General features: G+C 48.4%; 1 pseudogene, besides 13 other annotated features; it reads right to left on the bottom strand.

The window, feature by feature from the left end:
- Window positions 1-2,733: part of a biological region, named in NCBI's record as "meiotic recombination hotspot MSTM1", that runs on past the window's edge.
- Window positions 1-2,733: part of a meiotic recombination region, noted in NCBI's record as "this region was identified as a recombination hotspot within the HapMap YRI population", that runs on past the window's edge. NCBI's record gives the evidence for it as "EXISTENCE:nucleotide sequencing assay evidence [ECO:0000219][PMID:20981099]".
- Window positions 1,235-1,247: a nucleotide motif, noted in NCBI's record as "nucleotide motif; similarity to the predicted 13-mer PRDM9 A binding motif (LD hotspot motif), CCNCCNTNNCCNC".
- ACO2P2 (ACO2 pseudogene 2) lies at window positions 4,778-6,527 on the bottom strand (annotated as a pseudogene).
- Window positions 19,356-20,855: a meiotic recombination region, noted in NCBI's record as "crossovers mapped in sperm cells". NCBI's record gives the evidence for it as "EXISTENCE:DNA detection assay evidence [ECO:0005519][PMID:9734365, PMID:15880103]".
- Window positions 19,356-21,112: part of a biological region, named in NCBI's record as "MS32 minisatellite repeat instability region", that runs on past the window's edge.
- Window positions 19,372-21,112: part of a meiotic recombination region, noted in NCBI's record as "meiotic double-strand break mapped by DNA meiotic recombinase 1 chromatin immunoprecipitation followed by single-stranded DNA enrichment and sequencing in the germ cells of some male individuals with the PRDM9 A/A and PRDM9 A/C genotypes", that runs on past the window's edge. NCBI's record gives the evidence for it as "EXISTENCE:chromatin immunoprecipitation-seq evidence [ECO:0000229][PMID:25395542]".
- Window positions 19,544-20,743: an enhancer, noted in NCBI's record as "P300/CBP strongly-dependent group 1 enhancer chr1:236259904-236261103 (GRCh37/hg19 assembly coordinates)". NCBI's record gives its function as "activates an origin of replication core promoter dependent on BRD2, BRD4, P300/CBP, MED14 and CDK7 cofactors, with strong dependence on P300/CBP, by STARR-seq in HCT116 cells {active_cell/tissue: HCT116}" and the evidence as "EXISTENCE:reporter gene assay evidence [ECO:0000049][PMID:35650434]".
- Window positions 19,591-20,093: an enhancer, noted in NCBI's record as "H3K27ac-H3K4me1 hESC enhancer chr1:236260554-236261056 (GRCh37/hg19 assembly coordinates)". NCBI's record gives its function as "activates a minimal SCP1, AML or CMV promoter by ChIP-STARR-seq in naive and primed H9 embryonic stem cells {active_cell/tissue: H9 hESC(naive and primed)}" and the evidence as "EXISTENCE:reporter gene assay evidence [ECO:0000049][PMID:30033119]".
- Window positions 19,824-20,118: an enhancer, noted in NCBI's record as "tiled region #15719; HepG2 Activating DNase unmatched - State 25:Art, and K562 Activating DNase unmatched - State 25:Art". NCBI's record gives its function as "activates a minimal TATA promoter and a strong SV40 promoter by Sharpr-MPRA in HepG2 and K562 cells {active_cell/tissue: HepG2 | K562}" and the evidence as "EXISTENCE:reporter gene assay evidence [ECO:0000049][PMID:27701403]".
- Window positions 19,863-20,488: a repeat instability region, noted in NCBI's record as "repeat instability region; the MS32 minisatellite displays germline instability". NCBI's record gives the evidence for it as "EXISTENCE:polymerase chain reaction evidence [ECO:0000082][PMID:8162067]".
- Window positions 19,937-20,243: a minisatellite, noted in NCBI's record as "MS32 VNTR, 29 nucleotide repeat".
- Window positions 20,094-20,597: an enhancer, noted in NCBI's record as "H3K27ac-H3K4me1 hESC enhancer chr1:236260050-236260553 (GRCh37/hg19 assembly coordinates)". NCBI's record gives its function as "activates a minimal SCP1, AML or CMV promoter by ChIP-STARR-seq in naive and primed H9 embryonic stem cells {active_cell/tissue: H9 hESC(naive and primed)}" and the evidence as "EXISTENCE:reporter gene assay evidence [ECO:0000049][PMID:30033119]".
- Window positions 20,279-20,291: a nucleotide motif, noted in NCBI's record as "nucleotide motif; similarity to the predicted 13-mer PRDM9 A binding motif (LD hotspot motif), CCNCCNTNNCCNC".

Genomic DNA, 21,112 nt, shown 5'->3' with positions numbered 1-21,112 from the left:
AGAAGAATCACTTGAACCCGGGAGATGGAGGTTGCAGTGAGCCGAGATGGTGCCACTGCACTCCAGCCTGAGTGACAGAGCGAGACTCCATCTCAAAAATAAAAAATAACCATTGTCTCTCAACTTGACACTTTTTTTTTTCTTTCTGGAGACAGGGTCCTGCTCTTTTGCCCAGGCTGGAGTGCAGTGGTGAAATCATGACTCACTGCAAACTCTGCCTCCTGGGCTCAAGCAATCCTCCCACTGCAGCCTCCCTAGTAGCTGGAATCACAGGTGTGCACCATCATATCTGGCTAATTTTTATAGTTTTTGTAGAGACAAGGTTTTGCCATGTTGCTCAGGCTGGTATCGAGCCCCTGGGCTCAAGCGATTTGCCCACCTCGGCCTCGAAAAGTGTTGGGATTACAGGCATGAGCCACCCTGCCTGGCCATGATAACCTGAACAATTTGATAATGTGACTTTCAAATAACTTTTCTTATTATAGCTTCATACTCATATTCATATTCATAATTAAAAATCTGGAAAATACAGAAAAGTATAAAGAAGCAGATATGCATTCCTGGTAACCCCACAGTTTATATGTATTATACCAGACTTACTGATAGTCTTTCTGTAAATGCCCTTTTAAAAATTATGGTATATTGGCCAAGTGTGGTGGATTATGCCTGCAATCCCAGCACTTAGGGAGGCTGAGGTGGGTGGATCACCTGAGGTCAGGACTTCGAGACCAGCCTGACCAATATGGTGAAACCCCATCTCTACTAAATACAAAACATTAGCCAGGTGTGGTAGTGCATGCCTGTAATCCCAGCTACTCAGGAGGCTGAGGCAGAAGAATCGCTTGAACCTGGGAAGCAGAGGTTGCAGAGAGCCGAGATGACACCATTGCACTCCAGCCTGGGCAACAAGAGCAAAACTCCATCTCAAACAAACAAACAAACAAAAACAGTATATTTTACATAACCTATTCCTTCCACTAAATATAGCATGAATATTTTCTCATATTATGGAATATTCTTTTAAAACATTATTGTAAATGACTATATAGTATACCATCTTGCACATGTAAAATTCTTATAAAGAGTTGTTTTAAGTTTTCAAGAGACAAATGAAATATATTTGCTTTTTAAAATTAATTATAATGGTTCCATGCAGCACACATAGGAAAATTCAGAAACAGAAAAAAACCGGAGCTGGGTGCGGTGGCTCACACCTGTAATCCTAGCACTTTGGGAGGCCAAGGTGGGCAGATCACCTAAGGTTGGGAGTTCGAGACCAGCCTGACCAACATGGAGAAACCCCGTCTCAACTAAAAATACAAAAATTAACCAGACCTGGTGGCACATGCCTGTAATCCCAGCTACTTGGGAGGCCGAGGCAGGAGAATCGCTTGAACCCAAGAGGCGGTGGTTGTGCTGAGCCAAGATCACGCCATTGCACTCCAGCCGGGGAAACAAGAGCGAAACTCCGTCTCCAAAAAAAAAAAAAAAGAAAGAAAAAGAAAAGAAAAAGAAAAAACCCCACTTGCAATCCTACCTTTTTTTTTTTAAATGCATGTCTTATTCTATACACAAATCAACACACACGTATATATGCCTTTTTTTTTTTTCTCTGAGATGGAGTTCTGCTCTTGTTGCCCAGGCTGGAATGCAATGGCACAATCTTGGCTCACTGCAACCTCCATCTCCCAGGTTCAAGTGATTCTCCTGCCTCAGCCTCCCGAGTAGCTGGGATTACAGGCACCCACCACCACACCTGGCTAATTTTTGTATTTTTAGTAGAGACGGGGTTTCTCCATGTTGGTTAGACTGGTCTCAAACTCCCGATCTCAGGTGATCCACGTACCTTGGCCTCCCAAAGGCCTCCCAAAGTGAGCCACCACACCCGGCCTATGTATATATACCTTTTAAATTTTTTACTTATAAATCTATTCTGAACATTTTCTTAAATCAATAAAATTCTATAGAACAATTATTTATTTATTTATTTAGAGACATGATCTCACTTTGACACCCAGAATGGAGTGCAGTGGCACCATCACGGCTCACTGTAGCCTCGACCTCACTGGGCTCAGGTGATCTTCCCACCTCACCTTCCTGAGTAACTTGGGCTGCAGGTGTGCACCATCATACCTGGCTAATTTTTATATTTTTTGTAGAGATGGGGTTTTGTCATATTGCCCAGGTTGGTCTTGAACTCCTGGGCTCAAGCAATCTGCCCACCTTAGCTTCCCAAAGTGCTGGGATTACAGGCATGTGCCACCACACCTGGTTAATGTATTTAATTTTTTTTTTTTTTTTGTAGAGACACAGTCTCATTGTGTTCCCCCAGGCTAGTCCTGGCTTCAACTGATCCTCCCGCCTCAGCCTCCCAAAGTGCTGGGGTAACAGGCGTGAGCCCCAGCTCCCAGCCTTCACTGACATTCTGATTAGCAAGCTGGCTTTCCCCTACCCCTGCATTCCAACATGGCGTCCACTCTCTAATCCTCCCACCATCTACCCATTTTCCTTTGAATTAGACGGATGCTTAATAACTTCTCTAGGATACGGTTAGTGACAAGATAAATAACGCCCTTCGGATGGAATTGGCCACACCCTGAAAATCTAAGTCAGTAACATTTAGCAAACACTTATAAAACTCCTCTGATGTTCATAACATTTCATGAAATGTTGGATGTACAAATATTAACATGATATGCCCCCCACCCTCAGGAGGTGCTCAGTCAGTGGGGAATGTGGACACACAGGTGGGTTGTCTGGGGCAGAGTCTGTGCACTGAGCTGAAGGCATGCCGCGCCATCTGCCTGAGTTCTCCCCATTTAGAAATATTTGCGGTTGCACATTGCTCTGAATGATACGTGATGGGAAAAGAACTGGGTGTGAGGCATACAGCAGGAAAACAGATTGAGCAGCTTGGACAGCACATCAGGACGGGGCACTGAGACCTGTCCTGTGTGATCCTTTATATAGAAACAACAATAATAATACCTAGCAACTCTTTCACTCCTAAAGATAATCAGTGCCCAAAGCCCATCCCTTCCTCTGCCCTTGCTCAGTCCCTTGTAGGTGCTGTGCTCCCTCCTGCCCCAGGGCCTTTGCACAGGCCACATCCTGCCCAGAACCTGCTTCCTGACCTCTTTGACTGGATAAGATTTTCTCAAGCTGCAGATCTTGGCTCAAATATCACTTCCCCAAATGATGTAGGGGAAATATATATATCAATATATCTTTTGTGTTCCCCCAAAAGATATTTTGAAGTCCCAACCCTGCCCCCCGCTGTAGCTGTGAAAGTGACCTTATTTGGAAATGGGGTCTTTGCAGATATAATCAAGGTAAGATGAGGTCATGCTGGAGTAGGAACCCTACATCCAATGACTGGTGTTTGTATAAAGGAAAGATATGTTTGGACACAGACAGAGATAGAGGGGAGAAGTTCCTGTGACACCAAAGGCAGAGACTGGAGTGACACATCTACAAGCCAAGGAATCCCAAGGGCTGCCAGCAATGCCAGATGCTGGGAAAGGGCCGGGAAGGAGCCTCCCCCAGGGCCTCCAGAGGGTGCACGGCCCTGCCTAACCTCAATCTCGATCTTCCAGCCTCCAGAACTGTGAGAATAAAATCCTGTTGTTTCAAGCCCCTCAGTTTGTGGTACTTTGTCATGACAGTGCTGGGAAACTAACACACCAAGCAAGCATTTCTCTACCTCCCCAATTAGAACACAGGGTTCCCCTCTGAAACACTTGTCATGGTTCTATTTATATATTCATTGTGTCATTTAACTACCATTTATCTCCCCGACCAGGCTATCAGCTCCATGAAGGCAGCATCTTTCCCTGCCCAGGGCCTGGTGTGTAAGGTCGGAATAGTTCCTGAATGAACACGTGGCTCATGAGGCAGGTATCCACGCCCGGCCACGTGCTGACGTACGTGCGACACAGGAGGGGACCGGAGGAGAATTTCAGAGTCTGGTGCCGCCATCCACTCGTGGTCCTGAACACTCCACTGTGGGACTGCTTTGGTAACATGACCTTGCAAGCAATGCTTCATTTAATCCTCACAGCAGCTCAACCCACTGATCCCAGCATTATTCCTACTTTATGATACAGAAATTAAGGGTTGCCGGAAGTTATGGTACTAGTGAATGGCAAAGCCAGAGCTTGAGTTTAGATTTGTGGGACTCCGCAGCATATGGTGCAAACATCAAACACCTTCCAGAACTCTTGCTCTGTTCTGTTGGCTAGGACAGGTCCTACGCTGCAGGGTAACTGCGTGTGGTTAAACTTGTCATTCAAATTTGCAAAGGGTGCCTCATTTGCTCAACGCTCTGCATCTGGGGTCTGGAGCCCTCTAAGTAGTAAAACTCTTCATATCAATCACCTGCTTAAATCCCACTGCTCTGGAGGTAGAATACCCTCGGTGCTGTGCCCACTGCAGACATGTCTACTGCTCTCACCCCACATGTTCACCCCACAGCATACCCTGGACCCTGGACCCTATTCTAGCCATGTGGTGTTATGTGCGATCCCCCAAACAGCTGCCCTTAACACCTCCCCACAGCAGCTTGCTGAATCTGCCGTTTTAATTTTTTTTTTTTTTTTGGCTTCTTGTTTTCCTTACAAGAACAACAGGTTCTCTAGAATCCTTCAGCCACCAATAAAATGGTCAGGCAGGGGAAAAACTTTAGATGGGAGTCTTGTCAATAAAAATAAATACAGTTGCATGGAGCTGCTTAAGATTGGAACCAAACACTAAAAATAGGAAGGCAGGGGCTAAAAAGTTATTTTAAGAACCTCCCCCAACCACAGTCACTCTGTGGGCTGAGCGGGGAGCAGGAAGCATGTCTGGTCACACCATCTTGGAATCAGAACCCATGGCTGGATGGATCGGATCTGCTGATGGCGCATGTGGAGCTGAACTTGAACATGACGCCAGCTCTGGGGGGCGAGGTTGGGGGTGTGTTGGGAGGCACTGCCCTCACTGCTGCAGCTCCTTCATTCTGTTGAGGGCACTGCCGGCACAGAACCACTTGATCCGCATCTCATTGAAGGTGTGGTTCAGGAGGATGGTCTCCTGGGTCCCATTGGGGTGCTTGATGATGCACTTCAGGGGCTTGTCAGGGGCGAAGTCCTTCAGGCCCTGAATAGTCAGCTTGTCCACAGGGTGAACCTTGTTGTAGTCGCCTGGGTCAGCAAAAGTCAGGGGCAGCAGGCCCTGCTTCTTCGGGTTGGTCTTGTGGATCCTGGCAAAGCTCTTGGTGATGATGGCCTGGCCCCAGAGGTGGGGAGGCTCCAGCACTGCGTGCTCCCGGCTCGAGTTCTCGTCCCCGATCACCACCCACCTGATGCCATGTTTCTTGTAGTAGCGGGCAGTGTCAGGGACGGGGCCAAACTCCTGGGTGTTTTCAATGTTGGCACTGCACACGGAGTTGGCCTGGCTGTTTTCAATGTTGATGGCACCAGTGAGCAGGTTGTTGGAGATGTTGTCCAAGTGCCCACAAAACTTGAGCCAGGGGCCAGCAGCCGAGATGTGGTCAGTAGTACACTTCCCTTTGACCTTGATGAGTATCTGCGGGTCCTCCAGGTCCTTGCTATCCCACTTGTCAAAAGCCTCCAGGAGCTGCAGGCGCTGGCTAGTGGGGCTCACATCCACGTGCTGGCCACTGCTGTCCTGTGGGGGGTGCTGGTAGGGGTCCTGCCCTGGGTCAAACTCCTCTTGGGGAAGGTCGTCTGCATCCAGAGCCTCTAGCTTGAACTTCTTCCTATCTTTGCCCATCAGGTAGTTGGTCTCTGGGTTGAACTTGAGGATTCCCACAATGGCCAGGGCTGTGACAATCTCTGGGGACGTGACGAAGACATGGGTCTCAGGGTTCGCATCATTGCAGCCCGTGAAGTTCCTGTTGTAGGAGGTGACGATTGTGTACTTCTTCCCCTTCTTGATGTCCTTCGTGTCCCAGCGGCCAATGCAGGGGCCACAAGCATTGGCCAGGACGATGCCACCCACATTCCTCAAAATCTGTGCGTAGCTGTCCCGCTCAATGGTGGCGTGGATCTGCTCGGAGCCTGGAGTGATGGTGAAGTGGGACTTGCACTTGAAGTCATGGGCCAGTGCCTGCTTGGCCACAGCTGCTGAGCGCCCGGGATCTTCATAGCTTTAACTGTTGCAGGTACCAGTCAGACCTACTCGGATGTCCAGAGGCCATCCTTCCTTCTCTGCCACCTTGCCCACTTCTGCCACAGGGTGAGCCTGGTCGGGGGTGAAGGGCCCATTGATGTGCGGCTTCAGCTCACTGAGGTTAATTTCAATTAGTTGGTCATAATGGCAGCCAGGGTCAGGCACCAAGTGATCCTGGAATTCATCAGCTAGATTGGCAATGTCTGTCCGGCCGTCTTGCTTAGGTACCTCCTCATCCTGTGGTTGTAAGGGAACACGGAAGTGGTGGCCCCAATTTCTGCGCCCATGTTGCAGATTGTCGCCATGCCAGCACAGGAGATGGAGTCTACGCCAGGCCTGTGGTATTCCACGATTGCACCTGTGCCACCTTTCACTTTGAGGATGCCTGCCACACCTTCAGGATCACGTCTTAGGGTGAGGTCCAATTGGAGAGGGAGCCTGTTAGCTTCATGCCAATCACCTTGGGGCACTTCATCTCCTAGGGGATCTCAGCCATGATGTCCACAGCATCGGCACCCCCAACTCCAATGCAGATTCCCCCCAGGCCGCCACCACTGGGGGTGTGGGAGTCAGTGCCAATCAGAAGAACCCTAAGGTATGCATAGTTTTCCAGAATAATCTAATGAATGATTCCAGATCCAAGCCTCCAGCAGTCCACGCCATATTTGGCACCTGCAGTTGCCAGGAAATTATAAACTTCCTGGTTGATGTCCTTGGCCTGGCGCAGGTCTTTCTCGCCTCCGAGCTGGGCCTCTTTCAGATGGTCACAGTGGATGGTGGACGGCATGGCCACCTTGGGCAGCCCACTGCTGATGAACTGCAGCATGGCCACGTGGTCCGGCCACAGCCACAGGTGTCTTGCCCTGCTCGATTTCCTGGCTGGCCGGGTCATCCAGGTGTCCATACACGATCTTCTCCAAGAGGGTCAGAGGCCAGTTCAGTCGTTTGCAAACAATGTTAATGTTCTTCTCTAGCAGGTCATAGTGGATGTACTCATTGGGCTCAAAGTGGCTCATCGCCATCTTGGCCCGTTGGCACAGGACTGAGGCCACATGGTATTGCCGCACACCCAGAGCTTTCTGCAGCCGGGTCACCAGTGGGCTGTAGGGAGCCATTTTGTGCACTGACAAAGATGAGGTCGTGTGAATCTACCTCTTTATCAGCGATGTCAATCTCTCCGGTTGGCTGCTCCAAGACGCCATCCCTAACCCCGTCTGGTTAGGGATGAGATGAGACGCCTCTTCTCACTGTTGTCACATCAGCCTGAGCAACCTCATCACACGGACTCTCTGTCGCTTGCTCATCGCCCACCAGACATCCAGGACCTCTGTGTGGCTGGCAGATGAGTGAGCATGAAGTGTGCGGATCTGGGAAGCCTCTGGGCTCCGGCACCAGACACACCTGGCATGATTCCTGCCTCCTCCGGTTGCTGGCTGGAAACCCTTTCACCAGACGCCTAGGTTGCTTAAGGTTCATTTTCCTCATCCGCAAAGTGAACATCCTGTTACTCATCTTGCAGGGATGATGGAAATACTGAATTATATCTACAAATAATTGCATATATTAACAATGTCAGCCACATAGTAAATTTTCATTCCTTGCATATATCGCCACCTAGTGGACATCTTTAACCAATAAGATTAAATCCGCTTGGACATTCCAGGCACGATTTCACACTCCTCCTTTCCATCCTGCCATCCTCAGCAACTCGCTGGATACACCTGGACTGGTGCTGTCCGGCCTGCAGGCCGCCAGCCCCATGTGGCTGCTGACCACTTCAGCTGTGGCTAGTTGGAATGGAGACGCGCCCTCAGTGTAAAAGGCATACTGGGTTTTGAAGACTTAGTAGGTGCAAAAGAATGTAAAATACTCCAACAATTTTTTTTTTTTTCTGAAATGGACTTTCACTCTTGTTGCCCAGGCTGGAGTGCAATGGCGCAATCCCGGCTCACCACAACCTCTGTCTCCCAGGTTCAAGCGATTCTCCTGCCTCAGCCTCCTGAGCAGCTGGGATTACAGGCATGCACCACCACGACCAGCTAATTTTGCATTTTTAGGGGAGATGGGGTTTCTCCATGTTGGTCGGGCTGGTCTTGAACTCCTGACCTCAGGTGATCCACCCGCCTCGGCCTCCCAAAGTGTTGGGATTACAGGCGTGAGCCACCGTGCCCAGCCCTCAACAATCATTTAAAATATTGATTATGTTATTATAATTATTGTCATATTTCTTTTTACCTTTTTAAATGAGGCTGCTAATGGCCAGATGCAGTGGTTCATGCCTGTAATCCCAGCACTTTGGGAGCCGAGGCGGGGTGATTACCTGAGGTCAGGAGTTCGAGACCTGCCTGGCCAACATGGCAACACTCTGTCTCTACTAAAAATACAAAAATTAGCAGGGCATGGTGGTGCACACTTGTCATTCCAGCTACTTGGGAGGCTCAGGCAGGAGAATCGCTTGGGTGCAAGAGGCGGAGATTGCAGTGAGCTGAGATCGGCTGAGATCGTGCTGCTGCACTCCAGCTTGGGCGACAGAGCAAAACTCCGTCTCAAAAAAAAAGAAAAAAAGAAGCTGCTAAAAACTTTAAATTGCATATATGGCTCAGCTTTGGGGCCTGCATCATATTTCTATTGGACAGTGAGTGCTATTCTACTCTCAAAAAAGAATCTGGAGGCTTGTGTCAATTCATTCACTAAGTGTGTGTGTATGTAGGCGGGTGTTTCAACCCTCATGATTGACACTTTTCGAAGAGGCCACAGATAAGGAGCCAAACTATACCCAGAGATGTTCCAAGCTGGATAACTGTGTGTCACAGAGAGGCTTCAACAAAAACAGGAGTCAAAGTCACTTGTTCTGATGTTTCACCCTGCCTCTCTGGACTTTCCCTGTGTGCAGCCCAACACTTCACATCTTGGAAGGTGGCTTAGGCTTCTTTCGCAATCTCTAGCCCCAAATCCATTTGCTCATGTGCAATCTAGCAGTCAAGTATCTGGTGCTGTTTTGGTTTTGTTTTGTTTTTTGTTTTTGAGACAGAGTCTCACTCTGTTGCCCAGGCTGAAGTGCAGTGGCATGATCTCGGCTCACTGCAACCTCCGCCTCCCAGGCTCAAGTGATTCTCATGCCTCAGCCTCCCGAGTAGCTGGGATTATAGGCATGTGCCACCACACATGGCTAATTTTTGTATTTTTTAGTAGAAATAGGGTTTTACCATGTTGGCCAGGTTGGTCTCGAACTCCTGGCCTCAAGTGATCTGCCCCCCCTCGGCTTCCCAAAGTGCTGGGATTACAGGCATGAGCCACTGTACCCAGCCTCATGCTGTTTTTGTTTGCTTTGAGACAGGATCTCACTCTGTTGCCCAGGCTGGAGTGCAGTGCCATGATCATAGCTCACTGCAGCTTCGAACTTCTGGGCTCAAGCAATCTTTCCGCCTCATAAGTAGCTGAAATTACAGCCATGTACCACCATGCCCGACTAATTTATTTTTAACACAGATAGGGTCTCACTGTGTTGCCCAGTCTGGTCTTGAACTCCTGGACTCAAGTAATCCTCCTGCCTTTGTCCCCCAAACAGCTGGAATTACAGGGATGAGCCCAGCACACCAGCCCAGCCTGTGCTGTTGAGGTGGAAAGGGCTTCAGATTTTCCAAGATGCTTTCAACAAGAAGCAGTCATCATGCAAGCTGGGAAAACATCCACCTGGCAGATGTAAACGCTGAGGTCCAGAAAGCAAAGGCTGGTGTATTCGATCATATACTATACGTGGATGAAAAACGTTTCAGTCTACCTCAAATTTAAAAAGCAATTTTCTGATTCTGGGAATCATGGCTTGGAGGCATTGTGATTCACCCTTGCAAATTTCTGAGAAATTAGTCGGTAGAGAGCAGAAAGCAAACGTGAGAAGATATAATTAAAGAGGCCAGATAGGGATAAAGGGCTTATTTACATCAAGAGTCTTTCAAAGAAAAGAGAAACCAAGCAGTCAGTTGAATGTTAAAAAAAAAAAAAAAAATTAGAAACAAGGCAAAGACAAATGACCATACCAGAGGAAGCAGATACATCAAAAAGTCAGAAAGATAATGAAAGATGAGAATCTCATTGTAGAGTATACAGGTTTAGATTAATTATCAAAAGCTCCGCACACACATTTGGAGAGAAAAAAGAGAATGCAAATTCAGAGAAAACTCAAAGTCCTCAGTTATTTCCTTCCCATCTCCCTCAGCCTCAGTTTCCCCATCTTATGAAACCAGATGACCTGTAAGGCTCCTTTCATATCCATATTTGTAATTCTACAAAATAAATAGCTGCATGAAGATCTTTTACTTCTCAGTTTTTATCTCCAAAATTTCGTAGCCAATTTTTGTAGAGAAAATAAAAATTACATATGAGCAAGAAAGGCTAATTAAAATAATCTTACCACCTAGAGATAGCCACTGTGAATATCTTTATGTATATTCTTCCCTATTCATATAGGCATACATAGAAATAATTTTGTATAAATTTTATTATGGCCTTTTTTTTTTTTTTTGAGATGGAGTCTCGCTCTGTCGCCCAGGCTGGAGTGCAGTAGCGCCATCTCGGGTCACTGCAGGCTCCGCCCCCCGGGTTCACGCCATTCTCCTGCCTCAGCCAAATATTGCAAGGATGTTTTCTTGTCTTGGTTTCCTTTCCACACCATTGTCTGTGACCGCTGCCAGGTATTTTAGTCTAATGAAAGTATCGGTATAATATTAGTTGCAGTGAAAATGTGTGTCCAGATTGGAAAAGATGAAGAAAGCTGAGAAAAACAACATTTTTCCTTGCATGATGCCTTCTACTTTACAAAAGACTTGTATAAAAGCTTTGTATGGGAGGCCGAGGCGGGCGGGTCACGAGGTCAGGAGATCGAGACCACGGTGAAACCCCGTCTCTACTAAAAATGCAAAAAAAATTAGCCGGGCGTGGTGGTGGGCGCCCGTAGTCCCAGCTAGCTACTCGGGAGGCTGACGCAGGAGAATGGCATGAACCCAGGAGGCGGAGCTTGCAGTGAGCCGAGATTGCGCCAGTGCACTCCACCCAGCCTGGGTGACAGAGCAAGACTCCATCTCAAAAAAAAAAAACCAAAAAAAAAAAACAACTTTGTAATCAGCCGGGTGCAGTGGCTCACACCTGTAATCCCAGCACTTTGCGAGGCCCAGGCAGGCGGATCATTTGAGGTCAGGAGTTGGAGACCAGCCTGGCCAACACGGCGAAACCCCATCTCTACTAAAACTACAAAAATTAGCTGGGTGTGGTGATGCATGCCTGTAGTCCCAGCTACTTGGGAGGCTGAGGCAGGAGAATCACTTGAACCCTGGAGACAGAGGTTGCAGTGAGCCAAGATCACGCCTCTGCATTCCAGCCTGGGCGACAGAGTGAGACTCCATCTCAAAAAAAAAAAAAAAAAAAAAAAAAGCTTTGTAATCTACAAAGTGTTTTTACATCTTCTCTTAAGACTGCCCAACTAGCAGCGTCTAGCATATGGGTAGTGTCAATAAGTGTTATTAAATAAATGGGAAATCAAACAAATATGCATTATCATATGTATCCTTATGAAACTGGGATTTGGTAGGCCTCATTCTCATAATTTTATGAATGTTTTAAAGCTGCATCTATTACCTTGATAAAATCCATTATAATTTACATAGTATCCACACAGACCGATCTCATTTAAGCCTCCCAGCCACTCTGTAACTAACTAGGGTAGATAGCATCAGTCTCATTAAAGAGAGGCAGAGGCTGAGGTGGAGATAATCAGGGTCAGATAGTCAATCAGCGGAAGAGCTTGACCTTAGACTCAAACCCATGACACTTTCAACTGCTTCCCGACTGTGACCAAATGTCCCGCCCCACCTTTATTTAAGCAGTTTGTGCTATAGTGAGGCAGAGTCACCAGCATGCAGGTAAATGTTTAAAGTTCAGCTCTGGGGGAGTGGAGGGAGCCCTGATTTGTGGAGTTCGCTGATTTCTCTGGTGTGAATACTGCCACATGGCGGATTTGAAACTACTGACACAACGTCATGGTGTCATTGTGTAGAGACGTGCACAATCAGCTCAAAGGTGCTAGCTGGCTCCAACGCATCCCTGGGTGGAATGAACTTTCTTTCCACCTGATCGTTAATTCCTGGAGGCCAGGAACCACATCTCTTTGCAGTTTTCACTGTGCTATGCACACAGACGGCAGTGCATCAGCGTTCGGGCTCAACATCAGGGTTCAGCCTGGGTTTCCCATTCTCTGGTTTCCTCACCTGCCAGCCCTCTTCCCCTGGACCTGGGGAAGTACTTGGAGACAATCCTGCCCCCTTTACCATTTCCCTTTCCTTCCTCTCCATTCATGTCCCGGTCACAGCCTGAGGCAGAGTCATGGGCCCAGTGCAAGAAGAAAGGCCATGGGAACCTTAGGATCTCGTGGGGTTTTGTTTGTTTGGCTTTTTGTTTGTTTGTTTGTTGAGACAGGGTCTTACTCTATTGCCCAGGCTGGAATGCAGTGGCATAATCACAGCTCACTGCAGCTTTGACCTCTACGGCTCAAGCACACCACTATGTCTGGCTAATTTTTTTAATTTAAAATTTTGTTCTAGAGACAAGGCCTCGCCATGTTGCCCAGGCTGTTGGATCTCATGCTTTGTGGTGTTTTTTGTTTGTTTGTTTTTGAGATGGAGGCTCGCTCTGTCGCCCAGGCTGGAGTGATCCAGCAAGCTCACTGCAAGCTCCACCTCCCGGGTTCAGGCCATTCTCCTGCCTCAGCCTCCCGAGTAGCTGGGACTACAGGCGCCTGCAACCACGCCCGGCTAATTTTTTGTATTTTTAGTAGAGACGAGGTTTCACCGTGTTAGCCAGGACGATCTCGATCTCCTGACCTCGTGATCAGCCCGCCTCGGCCTCCCAAAGTGTTGGAATTACAGGCGTGAGCCACCGCGCCAGGCCGCTTTGTGGTCTTTTAAGACCAAGCTTAGAGTCTTCTTCCTGTCCTGGAGTTCCGGCACTCACCTTCTCAAGAAGCTTGGGCAGCTGCTTCCATGGGGGCCAGTGGGAGGAAGAGAGGGAGCAGATGGGAGACGGCTCTGACCCTCAGTACCGCAGGGCCGTTGCTTCAAAACTGAACTGGCACAAAACCCATCAACTGTTTGGAAACCAGGATTCCTGGCTTCTGGTTTTACTGCCCAGGGCTACAACTCTTGGGGCTATTTTTCTTGCCAGACATCTTACTGGGATTTTCTGCTGTGGAGAGCACCTCGTGCTGGTCTGCGCTGATAAAGAAATGTCATTTTCTGGAGGGTTGGTTGATGTGCGGATCTTGAAACAACGAAGAGCGCGCAGGGAGGCGGAGAAAAGACAGACTTTGGCGCCATCTACTGGAAACTTCTGTTTCTGCATGATGTGGATGAATTGGATAAAACTGACAAAATGGAAATTGTATGTATATTCTGTTCTTTGATACATGATTGATGTCGAAAATCTCTTATAAGAAGAAATATAGAAAACATATATTTAATGAATCATGAGTTAAATTCTAACTTCTCCTCTACTAAAACTTCTATCAAATCTGCTGTCAGGCAAAAATGGTTGAATTTTCATTCTACTCCAACCCACCCTCCCTTACAAATACTGTGCTAATATTCAGCAACATAGCAAGGACTAGAGAAGGGACAACAGCCAAAACAAAGGCTGCGCAAGTCCACTGGCCTGAAAATCAAGTCCAGAGAAAAGGGAAAGTGATTCTACCTGCAAACCAACCCAGCCCCTTGTCTGAGGAGGGGGTGGACAGGTACCTCCAGCAACTTCTAAAATCAAGTGACCACAGCAAAACGGAAACAAGAAAAGATGCACCAGCTGCAGTCACCGCCGAGCCCCTGCTTAGCGGCAGCTTTGCTGGAGAGTGTCTCCCTTTTGTGGGGTGGGGCCAGAGCCTCAGACACCTGGTGTTGGGGGCAGATGCCTTCCCTCATTCCAGCTTCACCTTCGGAGGCTGATCTACAAAGGCCAAGCCCCAGGCCGCTGGGCTTCATTTCCACACCAAAGAGCAGAGTCAGCCATGCCTCAGGCTGCTTTCTCTCTGCCACGTTTAAGTTTTAGTTCATTCAAATCCATCTTCAGCAACTTAATTGCCGTACAGTATTTCAGCACACTGAAAAATAACCTTTTCTCACACCGAAAGCACTAGACCTGTTTTTTCAGTGCTGTGATTTGTTGTCTGATATCATTCAGAGCTTTTCAAAAGCTGCCGCCGCTATCATCTTGCAACGGCCTGTGAAGTGGGTGGGAAGGTGCTGCTCCTAGTGCCAAGAGGGGAAACTGAGGCCCCTAGAAGGCTGAGCGCGTCCCGTCACCGCGCACGGCCCCTCCAGTGCCTCAGCCAGGTTCTCAGCCTCTCTGTGATGACTTGCAGACCAGGGAGGTTGACCTCATGTGGAGTTCCGGGTGGGGCCACCCTCACCAAAGCCTGCAGGGAGCTGCTGTCCCACCCACCCACCCCAGGCTGCCGGGGCAGGTGTTTCTGGGGCTGAAAGCAGAAATGTAGGGGAGAGAAAACACCCCCAAGGACTCTGTGGAGAACACTGAGCTGGGGGGTGGGTTGATACGAGTTCACCAGTTATATACATTTTAAACAGAGACGGGGCTTCGCTATGTTGACCAGGCTGGTCTCGAACTCCTGGGCTTAAGGAATCCTCGTATCTTGGCCTCCCAAAGTGCTGGGATTACAGGTGTGAGCCACCGTGCCCAGCCTTCACCAGCTATTTGTTGAGCACCTACTGTGTGCTGGTGGCTTCGGGAAGACAACGACAGACCGGACGCTGTGTTGTCCTCAGGAGACGTCCAGTTAGAAGGAGCAGAGACAATGGTACAAATAACTACCATGCAAGCAGGAAATGGCCACTGTGCAAGATGGGCTGTGCTAGAAGACCTCAGAGCAGGAGCGGCCCTTCCACAGGCGGGAGGGACAGGGGAGTGCTTGGGGGGCCTTTAATGGGCCTCCGAATGGGAGAGTAGGTGTGAAAATGGTTTGGGATCAGATAAATTCTGTGCCCACACACTCATGCACACTCATGCACACTCACACTCCCCACACTCACCCACGCATACACATACACCCACATAACACACATGCACAGCCACATTCACACACACAACACCCACATAACACTCTCACACACACTCAGACCCCACACACACACTCACATAGCACTCACACACACCACACACTCATGGACACTCACACTGACACAACACTCACCACACTCACCCACGCATACACATACACCCACATAACACTCACCCACATGCACATCCACATTCACGCACACAACACCCACAAACACCCACATAACACTCACACATACACTCACACCACACACACACCCACGTAACACTCACCCACATGCACATCCACATTCACACACGCAACACCCACAGACACCCACATAACACTCTCACACAAACACACTCACACCACACACATAGCACTCACACACTCATGCACACTCACACCCACATAACACAACACTCACCCACACTCACCCACGCGTACACATACTCACCCCCACATAACACTCACCCACATACACGGCCACCTTCACACATACAACACCCACAAACACACCTACATAACACACAAACACACACACCACACACTCACATAGCACTCACACACTCACACCCACACAACACTCCCATGTACCCACATGACACTCTGACACATATACTCACACACACCCACAGAATTACATTTACATACACATGCACACACGTACACATACACACAACACCCACACACACACATGCATACAAAGACACCATGTACACACACACATGCATACAGAGACACCCACATGACACTCAAATTCACACACACACATTCATGCACTCACCCACCTCCACATTCACACACACACTCATACTCACACTTGCACATACAGGAACAGAGGCACATCCTGAATCCCCCTCCACACCTCAGGCTTCCCAGGGCGGCCTCAGGGGCCCGGTCTCTAGCCCAAATGCCAGAAGGTGTTACTGGTGAGATCCGCTGAAGAGCAGGCCACGTGTGTACTGATGATGCTGAGACTGGCGAAGGTTTTCTCTGAAGCAAGATGAAAGAGGAGCGTTCCTTCCCACCTTGCCATCTTCTAGACTTGATTTCAGCCTTGCCGGGCCCAGGGCTGTGGGAAGCGCGGGGCCGCGCGGTGTCGCTGGCTTGGGCCAATGTGGCTGCTTTGCCAGGTTTCTAGAACCAAAAATGTTGGGGTGAATTACGGGCCTGGGAGCTACTTCTGTGTTTTCTGGGGACTCCCAGCCCTCCCAGAGGTGGGACGGTGGTCACCAAAATTGTTCAGTGGTGGAGTGTTTTGGGTTTTGTTTTGTTTTTAGGGTGTGTGGCGGTCAAAGATGGAGCAGAGTGGTGCAAAAGGCTCAAGCTCTGGAATCAAACAGATCCCAGTCTCAGTCCAGCTCTCCACCAGCTCTGCCCCCTCGAGCCAGCTCTCTGCACCCCACTTCCTCATCCATAAAATGCTGTTGATAATAGTACCTGCCTCATGTAGTAGGTGTATCAAAGGAAACTGCTGGGGATTCGTATGCTGTCTAGCACACTGGATGTACTCAATGCATATGAGCAATACTATTACTATCGTTAGGCACGAGGGAAAGAGGGAAGGAAGTCGAAGAAGACTCGGGTTTTAGACAGAGCGAGTCGGGGAAAGGTGGTGTCTTGGGCTGGATGAGGAACCCAGGCGTGCAAGTGCATTTGGGAAACCTGTGAATTCCAGTTTTGGAAGTGCTGAATTTAGGATGCCTGGGGGACATGGATGGAAGCGGCCACTGCATGTTGAGAAGAGAGACTGGGCTGGAGTTGGAGATGGGGGATTCACAGCACATAAGGGGAGGTCTGGGCCAGCAGAGGACAGGAGGTCATTTGGAAAGGGAGCTTCCAATAGGAAGAAGACAGAACCCAGAGGGCCCAGCATGCAGAGGTGGTGGGAAGAAGGAAGCCCACAGGGGTGCGGGGGATTGTTGCAGATGGAGGAGGGAGGCCATCAGAAGGGACCCTGCCGAGGGAGAGGAGACCTCAGCCAGCACCCACTGGGTGCCTCACTTCTACTGAGCAGCCTACAAAGATAGGTGAGACCCTGGCGTGGCTCTGAAGAAACTGACAGACTCTAGGAGCTCCTGCAATTCTGTTTAATTGCTTCTTTTCTTTCTTCTCTCTTCCTTATGAACAAAGACTCTTCAGTCTTTGCTTATAAGGTAGAGCCTGTGGGAGCTCAGAGGCTCAGCCCTCTGTGTAGGGGGCAGGTCTGCTGAATGCATTACGTGGGTGGGCTGGCCAGACCAGATGTCCCGAGTTGCCTTCCAGATCCACGGAGCTTCCCCCGGGGCATCATGGCACACCGCCCCAGACAGTCGGTAGTTTGAGAAGAGAGTTAAATGCTCTGTTCGGGAAGGAAGGAAGTGTTGGAGGTCTCTAGGAATGCTATGCAGCTATATTACCATCTTTGGGATAGCAAAAGTTACATGCATTTCAAATTAATTTTAAAGCATGTCTAGCTTTGCAACAAAGCCACACATGTCTAGGGCAGGCAAGAAGCTAGATTTATGCAAATCGAATGATTAAATGTAAACACGTGTTAGAGGGAGCCTGATGGCTGGGCTCGGTGGCTCATGCCTGTAATCCCAGCACTTTAGGAGGCCAAGGCGGGTGGATCACCAGAGGTCAGGAGTTCAAGACCAGCCTGTCCAACATGATGAAACCCTGTCTCTACTGAAAATACAAAAACATTAGCCGGGCATGGTGGTGTGCACCTGTATTCCCAGCTACTTGAGAGGCTGAGGCACGAGAATCACTTGAAAGCAGGAAGTAGAAGCTGCAGTGAGCTGAGATAGTGCCACTGCACTCCAGCCTGGACAATAGAGTGAGACTCTGTCTCAAAAAAAAAAAAAAAAAAAAGCCTGATGATGAATGGGGTTGATGTGCTCAATATTTGCTCACATGGCTCAGCTGGTTAGTGTGGAGCTGCACCTCATCCACCCTACTGCCTGTCAAATTCTGCTCCCATTGTGATGAAAGACAGCCCCAATGCAAATATGTAAAAGATGCTCTCTATATACCCACTTTCTCTAGTAGGGCAACTCTGTCCAACTTCTTGCCCATATTCTGATAAGAGTGCACAGATTGTGAGCACAATTTGAACAGTGACTTTTAGCACTGTGCAAGGAAATCTTGAAATGCCAGTAACATCCAGGTTAGTTAATTTATAGGTACATAATGATGAAGAGGAAGATAGTACAAGAACAAAACACAGGTCTCTTGTGCTTAATGGGCCAGGAGTTGTTTTAAGTACTTTACGTGCAATAACTTGATCCTTACAACAACCATCACAAATGAGGAAACTGAGGCAGAGGTTAGGTAACTTGCCCAAGATTGCACAGTGAATAAGTGGGGGAGGCAGGATTTGAACCCAGGCAGGCTGCCTGCCTCAGAGTCCTTTTCTTTAGATACTATGGTAGCCACATCTCTGCATGATCTCATGTGACTTGATTAGCTTAACACAGCTTTTTCAAAAACTAAAATTTCTTTATCCTCTCCCTATTCCTAGTTTCTCCTTCCTTTCTTCCTTCCTTCCTTCCCTTCCCTCCTTCCCTTCCTTTCCTTCCTTCCCTTCCTTTCCTTCCTTCCTTCCTTCCCTTCCCTTCCTTCCTTCCCTTCCTTTCCTTCCTTCCCTTCCCTTCTTTTCCCTTCCCTTCCTTTCTTCCTTTCCCTTCCTTCCTTCCCTTCCTTTCCTTCCTTCCCTTCCCTTCCCTTCCCTTCCCTTCCCTTCTTTTCCCCTTCCCTTCCTTTCTTCCTTTCTGATGGAGTCTCATTCTTTCGCCCAGGCTGGAGTGCAGTGGCACAATCTTGACTCACTGCAGCCTCCGCCTCCCAGGTTCAAGAGATTCTCCTGCCTCAGCCTCCCAAGTAGTTGGGATTACATGTGCACACCATCACACCCAGCTAATTTTTGTATTTTTAGTAGACATGGTGGGGAGGTTTCGCCATGTTGGCCAGGCTGGACTCGAACTCCTGACCTCAAGTGATACACTTGCCTCAGCCTCCCAAAGTGCTGGGATTACAAGTGTGAGCCACCGCGCCTGGCCCTATTTTCATTTCTTTCTAATAGTTAGTGCTCTCTCTATCTCCTGCACTTGCTAATTCACATATATTCTCCCTTCAAATCTGCCTTGACAGCCTTCTGTTTTCAAGGGCCTCACAGCTACCTGGTTCCTTCTCTCAAAAGTTCCCTCTTCTGCAGGTAACTTCTCACTCACTTCCCTTGGACCACCCCTCTGTCTCTGTTAGTGTGAGGTGGGTTGTGTCCAGGGCCATCCACCAGAGGAAAGGGGAGAGAAGCCATACTTCTTGGGTCCAACGGGAGTCAAGGAGATCAAGGACCAGGTGTTGAGACCCGTATTTTGGTTTGGGAGGCTACAGGCAAGGTAGAAATGGAAGGCTGTTCTTGGCCGGGCACAATGGCTCACGCCTGTAATCCCAGCACTTTGGGAGGCTGAGGCAGGTGGATCACCGGTGAATTCCACAGACACTTAAAAGCAAAAATAATAATTTGTTGAATACAGTGAGTTCTAAATTTCTCTTCAAAGAATCAGTATGTCAGTATGTTCAGTTCTTTGTTCTCCATTTTAAAGTTGAACTTCCTCGTTCTCCTCAGCCCTAGTTTCACTAAACAACCTTTTCCAACAGTTCTAATCAGTAGTTAACGTCTATTCCCCTGGTCACCTGCTCCATTCTGAGTCACCCCTGGTCACCTGCTCCATTCTGAGTCACCCCTGGTCGCCTGCTCCATTCTGAGTCACCCCTGGCCACCTGCTCCATTCTGAGTCACCCCTGGCCACCTGCTCCATTCTGAGTCACCCCTGGCCGCCTGCTCCATTCTGAGTCACCCCTGGCCGCCTGCTCCATTCTGAGTCACCCCTGGCCGCCTGCTCCATTCTGAGTCACCCCTGGCCGCCTGCTCCATTCTGAGTCACCCCTGGCCACCTGCTCCATTCTGAGTCACCCCTGGTCACCTGCTCTGACCTGAATCATCCTGAGTCACCTGTTCTGTAACCACCCTTCCCACCAAACTACTCACCCCGCCACTCTGGCTCATACCCCTGCTCTCTTTAAAGTAGCCAATCGGAATTAGCTTAGACTGTGCAGTCCAACCCTAGCCAATACGGGAACGACGCATCAGTAGGGGCTACCTGTGTCAGGAATCAGAACCCCTTCCCCTCCCTTGTTCAGGTGTGCTCTGGCCATTGCTCCATCTGCGAGTCGCACCCTTCTAGAGAAGTAAAATTGCCTTGCTGAGAAAATTAAACTTATGTTTGAGTGCTATTTCTTTTGCAGCACCAAAAATTTATTTACAACAAATTCTACACAAATTTTTCCAGAAACTGGAAATGGAGAGCTTATGTTACCCAATTTTAAGATTTACTAGAAAGATACAATAGACGTGACAGGGTGGTATTGGTAGAAGAATAGACACGAAGATCAATGGAACAGAATAAAAAGTTGAGAAACAGCTACATGGTCAATTAATTTTTGATGACGACCAACATAATTCAACATGGAAAGATGGTCTTTTTTGAAAAAGAAACATTGCTGCTTTGTGGATGAAGTGGATGTTCATACACAAAAATATCCTTAACTTTTACTTCACATCATAAAAATGTTTAACTCAGAAAGGGTCTCAGACCTAAATGTAAGAACTAAAACTATAATATTTTTAAAACAGAGGTCATCTTACTTTTTCTTAAAGGGCGAGGTAGCAGATGTTTAGGCTTATGGGCCATGTGGTCTCTGTCATGACTACTTAACTCTGTCATAGCACAAAAGCAGCCATAAACATTACAAAAATGAAGAGTATGGCCATAATCCAGTAAAACCTTATTTAGAAAA

This window comes from Homo sapiens, chromosome 1 (genome assembly GCF_000001405.40).
Source record: "Homo sapiens chromosome 1, GRCh38.p14 Primary Assembly".
NCBI classification, from domain to species: Eukaryota; Metazoa; Chordata; class Mammalia; order Primates; family Hominidae; genus Homo; species Homo sapiens.
This window is presented reverse-complemented; position numbering and strand designations above follow the sequence as displayed.